At 33.8% G+C, this 13,323-nt stretch overlaps 1 protein-coding gene across 12 annotated transcripts in view; it reads left to right on the top strand.

The window, feature by feature from the left end:
- Positions 1–13,323, top strand: part of ADAMTS6 (ADAM metallopeptidase with thrombospondin type 1 motif 6) — a 333,183-nt gene that overhangs the window by 25,379 nt on the left and 294,481 nt on the right. For 10 of the 12 annotated variants that reach the window (XR_007058575.1, XR_007058576.1, XM_011543117.3 and 7 more), the window contains 3 exons: positions 3,624–3,835; positions 4,326–4,409; positions 4,922–5,067. Coding sequence is in view for 9 of the 12 variants with exons in the window: in XM_011543117.3 (XP_011541419.1) it covers positions 3,624–3,835; positions 4,326–4,409; positions 4,922–5,067 (442 nt within the window). In the remaining 3 variants the exon portion in view is untranslated. Of the gene's footprint in view, positions 1–3,623; positions 3,836–4,320; positions 4,410–4,921; positions 5,068–13,323 lie in introns of all 12 variants that reach the window. The other 2 variants (NR_135689.2, XM_011543121.3) reach the window with 2 other exon arrangements.

Here is a 13,323-nt window from a genome sequence, read left to right as displayed (position 1 = left end):
CAAACAAATAAATATATGGCCAACTGTCCAGAAGTAGTAAGTACTATGAACAAAAATAAAGCAGGTCAATGAAATAATGGTGAATGGCTGTATATATTCAAACACTTTGATATTGATCAAAAAGTTAAAATCTTATTTCAGATGGCAATGAAATCCATATATTGATTTTGGGAAAAAGTTATTGTGTTGTATGTGTTTATGAGCAATGTTTCCTAACATGCTATAATCTAATCAAAATTAAATTGAGCAAAGCATGTGTAACAGGTATCATTTGAAGAACTACTAATCTTTATTTTGAAACAAAACAAGTCAATCTTGTTTTCTATTTTAGACTAAGAAAGATAGTAGTTACAGATCATTAAGCTTAACATTAAGAAGTCAATTGGCAATTATAGAATGTATAGTTTTATAATGAGCTAATTATGCTGGATTAACTTAATTTTTAAAATGAAACTGAAGATGTTCTCTCTCTTGATTTTATTCAGTATATGTGTATATGTATAAAATATTGAATATATAATTATATATGATATATATAAAATGCCTTTGATGGATATTCATAAATAAAAATATATAGTTTTAACATTCAAATAATTTGTAGTTTGTTAGAGTGATAGCCAAGCAAACTAAAATTTTTAAAAACTAAAATGTTGAAAATTTTGACAATAACAAAGATGATGATAACAGCAACTACCTTACACTGAATACATTTTTGTTTTTTTTATTATTATTATTTTTGAGATGGAGTTTTGCTCTTGTTGCCCAGACTGGAGTGCAGTGGTGCCATCTCAGCTCACTGCAACCTCCGCCTCCCAGGTTCAAGCAATTGTCCTGCCTCAGCCTTCCTAGTAGCTGGGACTACAGATGTGTGCCACCACACAGCTAATTTTTGTATTTTTTTTTTTAGTAGAAACATTAATTTAGGATTTGAAATATTTTACTGGACAAAATATTTGAAATATTTTACCAACCTGTTCTCTTTTTTAATTTTTTAGTTTTTGAGATGGAGTTTCGCCCTGTTGCCCAGGCTAGAGTGCAGTGGTGTGATCTTGGCTCACTGCAACCTCTGTCTCTCAGGTTCAAGTGATTCTCCTGCCTCAGCCTACTGAGCAGCTGGGATTACAGGCGCCTGCCACCACATCTGGCTAATTTTTGTATTTTAAGTAGAGACAAGGTTTCACCATGTTGACCAGGCTGGCCTCAAGCTCTGACCTCAGGTGATCCACCCGCCTCAGGCTCCCAAAGTGTTGGGATTACGGGCGTGAGCCATCACACTCGACCTGAATACATTTTAAATGAGGACTACCATTGCTATGTGTTTATTGCACAATAATGTCTAATTATTTTCACAATATTTTAAATAAAAAGGAGAAATTGAATGGGTCGGAGAAGGGGAAATGATCAAAAGAATGAAAATAAAATCCTATATTTGGACATTTAAGCTGTTTAGCCAGAGTAAGAGACTAGGCATGACTTGAATACATGAGTGGTTTTATGATCACAGAGGATTGAGCAGGAGAAATTGGAGTTATATTGATGTGGAAAAGCTTTCAGCTGTTTTGTAACAATATTAGCCAATAAAACCTAGTGGCTTACTCAGTATACTTTTAGTATTTCACAGTTTCTGTTGGTCAGGAGTCTGTGCATGGATGGGTCATCTGCTTAACCTCAACCAGGGCTGAATTCTCATCTGGAATCTTGACTGGGGAAGAATCCACTTCTCTACCCCCATAGTTGTGGCAGCATTCAGTTCTTTGTGGTTATGGGTAGCTTTAGTTTTTGGATGATTGTCTTCAGATGCCAGCGTCAGTTCACCAGCATGATTGATTGCTTTCTCTAAGTCAGCAAGGGAGAGACTCTAGACAAATGCTACAATATTATGTAACATAATCATGTACTAATATACTCAAAATCACATGCATCTCATCATCTTTGCTGTATTCTGTTAGTTAGAAACAAGTCACAGGTCCTACCCATATTCAAAAGGAGGAAATCACAAAAGGATGTGAACATTAGGAGACAGAGGTCATGGAGGCCATCTGGAGAGTCTGTCTGCCAAAATTGGATATAGAGAAACACTATCTGGAGGATATTCTATCGAAATAAGAAGTGGTGTTTATGTCTTTGCTTCTCTTCACCTTTAGGGATGAAGACACTCATTTAACTTAGAAGTTTCAGGAGTATTTAACTGATGGGTCTCATGATCATTTCCACCTCATTTCTCAAAATTTATCCATCCTACTGACTTAGCACATTTCTTGCTGCTGTAACAGAATACCTGAGACTGGATAATTTAAGAACAATGAAAGTTTACTTAGCATATGGTTCTGGATGCTGGGAAGTCCAAGAGCATGGCACCAGCATCTGGTGAGGGTCGTCTCATGGAGGAAGGCAAGAGGAGGAAGTGAGTGCACACAACAGAGAGAGGAAGTTGGGCCTGAACTCATTATTTTTATCAGGAACCCACTCCCACAATAACCAACCCATTCCTACAACAATGGTTTTCATTCCTTCATGAGGGTGGAGACTTCAAGTTTTAATCACCTCTTAAAGGCCCCAGCTGTTAATACTGTTTCAATGGCAATTAAGTTTCAACATGAGTTTTGGAGGAGATATTCAAACCATAGCACCTACCAATGCAATTTGTAAAACAGAAAGGCTAAAGAAGTTAGAAAAATGAGAATAGTTACACTTTCTGTCAAGTGTATCATATATTAATCTAATTATTCCTCACTAAATTTTTTAATAAGTGGGGGTGAGAAAGATTTCCTGTTCAATATAAGGATGTGGAAGTGAGATATACAGAGAACCTCTACATGCTCAAGTTTATTTAATGAAGATGATAATCAGTGAGGCAGGTGTTTACAAATGCCATAGTGCTAAAAGGCTGCTTCTATACTGAAGAACCAAATGTCTAGAAAACAAAGGATACATTGCAATCCATGCTAAATATGGTTCAAAGCAAATTATGCTGGAATCGTGATCTTTCAACTATAATTGAATGTCTCTTACCTCTAGGCTTTGGAAAAGAAATATTTTGAGTACTCTGTCAGAATAAAGAGTTGTAGACTGCCAACCTAAGTGAAAAAAGTAATTCGTTGCCTTTTAGAATTGAGATTTCTAGAGCAGTAGAATTGATTCTAATTAAAATAGCTTGATGAAAGCATCTTATTTTAAAATGAATAATCAAAAGTATCTTTGGAATAGATTTTTGCAAAATCAGGGCTATCAGAGCTGTCTTAGACTGATTGAAAAGTTCATACTCTAGATGCTTTTTAAATAACTTTAAATGGCTCTTTAAAGTATATATCCTAAATTTAAATGTATTAAGATGTAATTACTGGAATAATATGAAATGACTATTTGAAAATTATTTTTATTAATTAATTCATTTCTTAGATTTGTTTTGTTTTCATGAGCAGTTGAATGTTTAATTTTTTCAGATAACGTGATTATTTTCAAAAATTTACAGACTTTTTTCTCACTACTGCATTTTCTCATTCTCTTCTCTTTGAAAAATCTTAATATATTAGAGAATTTGTGAGAAGCATGTCTACATGAAAGATCTATAAATAAATATTTTTAATTAGTGAACCTATCTGAATTGGCTGCTTTTATTGTAGATTTCACAAGAAGTGGCAAACCTTGGTGGCTGAATGACACATCCACTGTTTCTTATTCACTACCAATTAACAACACACATATCCACCACAGACAGAAGAGATCAGTGAGCATTGAACGGTTTGTGGAGACATTGGTAGTGGCAGACAAAATGATGGTGGGCTACCATGGCCGCAAAGACATTGAACATTACATTTTGAGTGTGATGAATATTGTAAGTTTGATCCCTCTATATAATATTTTACTTCATATTTGTTGTGTTTTTGACTAAGGTCATAAATTTTTGCTGTGAAGTAAATAATGATAAGAATTTACCTGTCTAAAATGGTAAAAAATTGGTCTAGTAATGTTTCAGTTCCATAAAAATACATTTAAAGATGACCTTATCATTCATTTTTAGATAATATGACAGTTTTAGTGGATTGTTAAATCTTGTTTAAGGGTTTTTTTTTTTTTTTAACTTGAAACATCAGCTCACCCTCTAATTTCCATGCTGTAGTTCATGTCTAGGAGGAAATATTTATTGAGGTAGACTTGTATAAAAACCTTTTACCAAGGCACCTTGAAGGTAGAGTTCTAAGTGATATGGGGTAATGTATACAATGGCTAAATTTATAAAAAATTGTTTTAGCACTTAAAAAACCAAACTATCACCCTATAATTTTTGTCTGACTTTGTGTCTTTTCTTATTTTCTGGAGGTCAGGTTGCCAAACTTTACCGTGATTCCAGCCTAGGAAACGTTGTGAATATTATAGTGGCCCGCTTAATTGTTCTCACAGAAGATCAGGTAAGAATGAGTTAGTTTATATATCTAAGATTGTTAACAGAAGGCTATAGAGCTATAGAATTACTTATTATTAAATAATATGTTTTATTATTGCTTCTATTAGGAAATTCTAGTTGGATATGATTTTTAGCTCTACACATTTAATATCTTAAGCAAATTTTAAATACATTACAAGAATATACCTTTTATGTTAAAGCTATATAGATTAGCTATGTTTCAGTATAAGGGTGAACATTTGCATGGCATATCTTATAATAATGATTTTCATTAGTTTTTGTGTTGATAATCTCACATATGTTCACATTATCATTAAAGCTGGAACTGGAAAAAAATACCAGTTCAATAATATACCAAATGAGCTCTAGGTCAGATATTACAGAGATAAAAATTGGCAAGAGATTATTCCTAGAAACACTGCTTCTAATTATAGTCCCACTTCAGTCTTCAAAAGTTTTAACAACTGACCTTAGTAATTTGTTTGGAACATTTCTGGTATGCATGTTGTATTGCAGCCAAACTTGGAGATAAACCACCATGCAGACAAGTCCCTCGATAGCTTCTGTAAATGGCAGAAATCCATTCTCTCCCACCAAAGTGATGGAAACACCATTCCAGAAAATGGGATTGCCCACCACGATAATGCAGTTCTTATTACTAGGTATGGTTTGTTGCAAGTATTTTTCCATTGATTGTTGTGTTTATTCACTATTGTAATAAATTTGGTTCTATGTAAAGCCTCATTCAGATAATGAGTATAGAGAAAGCAAAATGGTAATTTATTTTTCACTACTGAGAAAGAATGTATTACACTATTATTGTGTTTGCATCAAATGAACCAAATAAGAAAAAAGAAAATATTAAGATTTGACTTAGAAATTTAATAAATAACTTTCCTCCTACTGATAAGTTCTATTCATAATATTTAATCAAAAGCATGTAGATGATTTGTTAACCGAACAAAATACATACTAAAACAAGATTAAAACATATGAGAAAATACATATCTTAAAAATAAAGTGACCATTATCAGTTATAAAATATATTAACTATTTTTACCTTTCAGTTGTGTTAAAGTTTATTAAAAGGGAGGCGGAGACTGGCAGTTATACAACTTACTTGAATGTTTATTTAATTTGAAATACTTTAAGATATATAAACATAAAAAAGCAGATTGATTACACTATGTGTTGAACAGCTTGTCTCTCAAGCAAAATTATTATTTGGTGATAACCCATTGAATTCTTATATTGCTTTCCAGTTTTACAAAACTGTTTTGAGATCCATTTTATTCTTTACTCTCCAGCAACAATTCTGTAGATAGTGTTATTATGTTACTCATGTTAGGAATGAGGGAACTGATAGGTAAGTTTCTCAAGATTACTTAGCTAATAAGTGAAAGAATAGGGCTCAGATTCTGGTGATCCTGTCTTTGATTATACGATGCTATCTGTTATAGTTTTTAATACTCTTACTTATAATTGGTTAGAAACATTATACTTAAATTATTTTAAGATAAGTGTGCCTTTTGACTTCTTATCAATATTTTAAAATAAAAAGTAACAATAAACAATAAGCAAAATGGAAGCATTATTCTCTCTTGGCTAGGTGAAATAGTCTTTGGTATGATGGTTATTTCAATTTGCAAGGCAGTATTTAACATACGTTTCATCTGTGGTATGTTCATTGACTCTACATTAGGTTCTAGGGAGGGAATACAAAGTATATGAGTTAGAATCTTGAGATCCAGTAAGATAATGTAAACTTTAGAAAAAGTTCCCGGGTAACTGAGTCATACAGTGAAATTTCTGAATTTTTTTAATAGTTATACTTACTTTAATTGACTTTATCTACCTGGCATCATTGGTGAGAAAATTTGGTTTATGACATGCTTGCTGAATAAAATCGTATGGTTCTATATTAATATATGTTGACATTTTAGTCTGATAAAATGTGCAACACCTTAGAGTCTTGTGGTCTGGAATATTCTTAAATATACTTAAGGAATTAAAAATATACTAGGAATTGTGCGAATGTGGAAACCTTTCTGTTAAAAAATATGGACATTGATTAGTGTCAATGAAATTACTAGAAGAAGATATCTGTTATATATAGCTAACAAAACGATCATAAATATTTACATGGCTTTTGTATTTATATTTGTAAAGCCCTGTCTTCCCAAATATGACGCACAGTGGGCTCCCAATACTTCACATTTGCATTATTATATCTCCATTGGATTTTTACCTTTTGCCTCAAATGACAGAAGTTACACCAAGCACATATATAGGTATTCAAGTAGTAGAGTACATCTGGGCAATTAGCCCACCTTTCTTTGCACTGGCTACAACATTCAGCTGTCCAACTTTTTATTCTGAATTCGCCTTGATATTTTCCCGATTCTCTGCAGGGCTCTTCTTTGCTTTTGTAAGCTACTTCGAGTGCCTTTTTGATGTTTGAGATTTAAACATAAATTTTTATTTTTTATTTTTATTTTATTTATTTATTTATTTTTGAGATGGAGTCCTGCTCTGTCGCCCAGGCTGGAGTGCAGTGGCGTGATCTCGGCTCACTGCAACCTCCACCTCCTAGGTTAGGTTCAAGTGATTCTCCTGCCTCAGCCTCATGAGTAGCTGGGATTACAGGTGCGTGCCACCATGCCCAGCTGATTTTTTGTATTTTTAGTAGAGACGAGGTTTCACCATGTTAGCCAGGATGGTCTCCATCTCCTGACCTCGTGATCCGCCCACCTCGGCCTCCCAAAGTGCTGGGGATTACAGGCGTGAGCCACCGCGCCTGGCCCAAAATTTTCTTTTTAAACTTGTCTGCTAATGATCAGACTAGTACTAGAAATGATAACAGGATTTAATAAGATTAGTAGTTCGAAGAGTTCATATCATATTATTTTAGATTGGCTAATGTAACAGAGGTTAGAAAAATGCTTTTTGCAGCAGTGTAGAATTCTTTTTTGAACTCTTATTAAAGTTTCAAAGTAACTTCTAGCCTATTTAAAAGTCTATAATTATGTTTGAATTACTAGGGCCATAGAGTGACTTAACAAAATGGGAGGAGTATCATCTTTAATATTTAAAAATTGTTATTTTTTGAGGATCAGAGGAGAGGTACCAGTGTTGGACTCTCTCTTATATATTTTTTATTTTGAAATCCAACGTGTGTTTAAATCATACTGCTAATTTTTGTAAAAATATTTTTGAGAATTCCACAGATGATTTTGTATTAATATTGAAAATTGGTTGATCTAACTCACTTATTAACATGTTCGGGGTGTGACCTGACTGTTTATGGGTAAGATCATGATGCATGTTTGCTTGAAATGTCACCTTACTAGGGAGAATGTATAATGTGTTTATCAAGAATGCCAGGGCCGGGCGCGGTGGCTCACACCTGTAATTCCAGCACTTTGGGAGGCTGAGGAGGGCGGATCATGAGGTCAGGAGATCAAGACCATCTGGCTAACACGGTGAAACCCTGTCTCTACTAAAAATACAAAAAAAACTAGCCAGGCGTGGTTGCGGGCGCCTGTAGTCCCAGCTACTCAGGAGGCTGAGGCAGGAGAATGGCATGAACCCGGGAGGTGGAGCTTGCAGTGAGCCTAGATCGCACAACTGCACTCCAGCCTGGGTGACAGAGAGAGCAAAAAAAAAAAAGAATGCCAGAGGAAAAATGATGGATATGTTTATTTCCACTAGGCCAAATTTTGTCCCAGGGACTCAAAGGTTTATGCAGAAAACCGTTTGAGATTGTAGTTACTTAAGTAACAATAGTTACTTTTAAAAACTCAAAATGTTATCCCGTCTTTTACAAATTATATCTTATTGTTTTATTTTGTTGATTTACATTTAAAACGAACTGTGATCCGCAAAGCTATCAGATCACTCTGACTAGACAGGAAGAAAATAAAGGAATTTTGAATGTTGTTTTATCTGATATCAATAATATTGAATGAACACCAAAGAGCATATTTAAATTATTTATATATATTATACATGTGTATTTTATATGTACATATATGTGTATACTATGTTCTATATAATTATTCATAATAAGTAATATATAATATAATGAATAACTGTTATCACTACCTAGATTTATCAAATCTTAACTTTATGCTATACCAAAGAGCAGCTTTAGGCCATTTTCTAAAATGATGATTACCTCTCTATGTTGTATTAACTATCTGACATCTTAGCTCTGAATACCAAAGTTAGTGCTATAATGTATAAATTTGTGGAAATATGGCAATATTTCTATAGTTTATTATATTTCATATATTATAAATATACATTAATAGTAGAATAATAAAACTGATCTTTCATTTTTGTGATCTATAATTTTAGTTAAAATATCAGTATTAGTAACTGGTATTGATTGCTTTCATAGACTAAGATATGTTAGAATTATTTGATGATTATTAATATTCACCTAAATTAGTGAATGAAATTCACAATGTATCAGTGGTGAAATATGACATTATATACCTATGTCAAGAAATGATTAATATTCTTTACTTGACACTCTAGAAGCAGAATTTTTGAAGGCAAAATACAACTGTACATATATAGTTAAAAAGTTAACTTGCTATAAAACTTGCAAATTGTCTTTATTAAGCTTTTGTATTTTGTTGTTTTAAAATTATTAAATTGACAAAAATTGTGTGTCTTTATGGTATACAAATGATGTTTAGATATATCTCAACATTGTAAAATGGCTAAATCTAGCATTGGCTTGATATGTGTTGCCTCCCATACTTTATTAAGGTTTGTATTGATAAACCAAATTAATAGCTACTTAGGAATAAAAACCTGCAAGTTGACAGATTATTTAATTTAATTAAATTTTCAGATGAAGTCAGGAAATATCCACCACAAGTTTAAAGTCAAGCCAATATCTAAATCTGTTTTGTGGTAAAATACTCAAGAAATCTATTTGTTGTCTGAAATTCAATAGGAATTCAAAGACATGGAGTATATTTGCATCAATGTTTAGCAATTAGCACGAACAGACTAATGCATATATTTCTTGGCTTTCTCTCCTATAAAGTATTGGAATCAGGTTTTTCCATTTTTAAGATAATAATACGTAACAGTTTATATTTAGGGTAGAAATTATAGCCCAAGTTCTTTTTATGGTAACAGCTTTATTGAGATATAATTCACAAACCATACAATTTACCCATTTAAAGTATACAATTCACTGGTTTTGAGTATATTCACAGAGTTGTGCAATCATCATTATCATCAATTTTTAGAACATTCCATCACTCCCAAAGGAAGTCATCCTCCATTCCCTACATTCCCCTCAGTCCCCACTCCTACCCTAGTCGTAAGCAACTGCTAATCTACTTTCTGTCTATATAGATTTACCTACTCTAGACCATACATACAAATGAAATAATACAATATGTGGTCTTTTGTGACTTGCCTCTTTTACTTAGCACAGTGTTTTCAAGGTTCATCCATAATGTGGCATGTATCAGTACTTCATTCCTCTTATTGGCCTAAATTCTTCAGAATTCAAGACACCTTTTAAGACTGCCTCTATAGGCTATTTGTCAATTATTATACTTGTACAGTTTTTCATTAATGAAAAGCACAGGATTTATAAATACATCTCAAAATACAGATGCAAAAATTGCACACCAAGTCAAATAATTTAGTCTTTAATTAAAATGGGCATTTTATCCTCTTAAGGGGTCATGACTGTTTGCTTTGGTGCTGCTGGATTATAAAGGAATTAGAATTTCCAAAGTCACCTAATGTTTTCAGTTGGGAATACAAAAATAGCTATAAAAATGGTTTATTGTTAAAATTTGGCTTGCAGTGTGTGCATTTAAACAAGTTTTCTTATTTTTTAAATAATGTGTTTATCAGGATTATATATTGGTTTCATGGTAATGTATTAGGACAGATAGAGAAAAGGGAAGTTAAATGTGATATATTAACATTTATTTGGTATTCATTTATGGATTTTTAAAAATCTTTAAAGAAATGCCAGTTACCTCTTTTATGACCAGTTAAATATTTTATTTCACTAGCTTTTAAAGAATATATTTGGTTTATACGAAGTGTGAATTCAGATTGTGGGTGAATTAATTTTGGTATGTGGACATTTTGAAGCATTTATTTTTCTCTTACCACGCTGCTTTTTCTGAATTGTTTGAGATGATCATATAGTTCATCTTTCTAAAAGTGTATTAACACAGTGAATTGCAATGATTGGTTTAGAATATTAAACCAACCTTTCTTTCTTTTTTTCTTGAGACAGGGTCTCTCACTCTGTTGCCCACTATTATCTACCCACCCCCATTGCCCATATTCCTCCTCTTCAGTTTCCTTTCCTTTTATCCGTGCCTTGTTGGTTTCTTACTCAGAAGTGTTTATCTTGAATCAGTTACCATTTCAATGTAGACTGACAAACTGGAGTAACTCTAATTTCTTGTGTACACTGGGACACTTTTAAGAGTGAAAGAGGGGGGCTCTGTGTGATGGGTCATGCCTGTAATGCCAGCACTTTGGGAGGCTGAGGTGGGAGGAATACTTGAGGTCGGGAGTTCAAGACCAGCCTAGCCAGCATAGTGAAACCCCATCTCTACTAAAAATACACAAAAACATTAGTCGGGCGTGGTGGCACGCGCTTGTAATCCCAGATACTCAGGATGCTGAGGTAGGAGAATCGCTTGAACCCGAGAGGCGGAGATTGCAGTGAACTGAGATTGCACCACTGCACTCCAGCCTGGGCAATAGAGTGAGACTCCATCTTAAAAAACAAAAAACAAACCACAAAAAAACTGAAAGAGCATGCCATTGACAGTTATGTCTGAAAAACAGGCACATATTAGGACCTGGTGAAACAGGATTATGGTTATCTCAGGCATTACCTATGTTTGTTTGTTGAAGTTCAAATAAAAATGGAAACAAGAAGATGCTATTTCCTCAGTGCCCAAATTTAATCAATTATCTTTATACACACCTTGAATAAATAGTGTACCTTATTTGTAGTAGGCGTCATTAAACAGTTAAAGAAGGATGTATTGTACTAAACTCTAAGGAATAGTAACTTAAGTATTTATATTGGTTTTATGGATGTATTGATGTATGTATATAACCAAGTACCAGATACTTAAGTGCTTTACAGACACTCAATCATTTAAAACCTTAAATAACTGCATGAGATAAGGACTGCTGTTTTTCTCCATATTGGAGAAGAGAGAGCTGAAGCACAGGAAAGTAAATTGATTGGCAAGGTCACACAGTAATTAGTAGAACTAGGATTTGTACCATGCAGTCTTGCTACAAAGTCCTTTTAGAAGAGTTATAAGGATATGCAACAAAAAAAAAATGTGGTATCCTTTAATAACGTTGGCACCTGTGGTAGGCAGACTTCTAGGATGGCCCTCAGTGATCTCTGTCTCCTGATATTCATGACTTTATGTAATCTTCTCCTCTGGACTGTGGTCTAGCGAACTGACATCTTAACAATATGGAGTCTTCCAACTCATGAACAAAGTCTATCTCTCCATTTATTTAGGTTTTCATTACTTTCTCTCAGCAGTGTTTTGTGGTTTTCAGTGTTTTTATACCTTTGGTCATATTTTTTGATGTTATTGTCCATGATACTGTTTTTAAAATTTCATTTTCAATATTAATAGTTTTTCACTGGTATATAAAAATGCAATAGATATTTATATGGATTTTGTATCCTGTAACCTTGCTAAGTTCATTTATTGGTTTTAATAGCTTTTTGTGTGTGTGTCAGAGTCTCTCTCTTGTCTCCCAAGCTGGAGAGCAATGGCACGATCTCAGCTTTGTGATTCTCCTGCCTCCGCCTCCCAAATAGCTGGGATTACAGGTGCCTGCCACCATACCCAGCTAATTTTTGTATTTTTAGTAGAGATGGGGTTTCACCATGTTAGCCAGGCTGGTCTTGAACTCCTGACCTCAGGTGTTCTGCCTGCCTCGGCCTCCCAAAGTGCTGGGATTACAGGCATGAGCCACTGAGCCTGGACTGGTTTTAATAGCTTTTTAATAGATTCCATATATAAAGATGATCATGTTGTCTGAGATGAAAGACATTATGCTTCTTCCTTTTAATAATGAATGACTTTTATTTGTTTATTTATTTATTTTTTGCCTTATTGGAATGTCTAGAACTTCTAATACAATGTATAATAAAGGTGGTGAGAGCAGAGATCCTTGTTTTGTTCCTGACCTCAGCAAGGAAAGAATTCCGTCTTTCACCATTAAGTATGATGTTAGCTATAGGTTTCTTTGTTGATGCGCTTTGTCTGGTTGAGAAAATTTCCTTGTGTTCATAGTTTGCTGAGAGTTTTTTTTTTTTTTAAATCAGGAATGGGTGTTGGAATATTACCAAATGCCTTTTCTGAATTGTTTGAGATAATCATATAGTTTATCTTTTTTAAAGTGGATTAATACAGTGAATTGCAATGATTGGTTTAGAATACCAACTTTTTTTTTTTTTTTTTTTTTTTTTTTGAGACAGGGTCTCACTCTGTTGCCTAGGCTGGAGTGCAGTGTTGTGATCTTAAGCTCATTGCAACCCCTGCCTCCCAGGCTCAAGCAGTCCTCCCACCTCAGCCTCCCAAGTAGCTGGTACTACAGGCGTGCACCACAATGCCCAGCTAATTTTTTGTATATTTTGTAGAGATGGAGTTTCACTATATTGCTTAAGCTGGTCTCAAACTCTTGGGCTCAAGTGATCCTCCCACCTTGGTCTCCCAAAGTGCTGGGATTACAGGCATGAGCCACACTGTGCCTGGCCAAAACAACCTTTCATTCTTAAGATGAACTCAATTTGGTCATCAATGTATTATTCTTTTAATGTAGTTAGATATCTAATTTACATTCCCACCAACAGTGTAAAACTGTTTCTATTTCAA

Source organism: Homo sapiens, chromosome 5 (genome assembly GCF_000001405.40).
Source record: "Homo sapiens chromosome 5, GRCh38.p14 Primary Assembly".
NCBI lineage: Eukaryota > Metazoa > Chordata > Mammalia > Primates > Hominidae > Homo > Homo sapiens.
The sequence above is the reverse complement of the archived record's forward strand: the minus strand, read 5'-3'. Positions and strand labels throughout refer to the sequence as shown.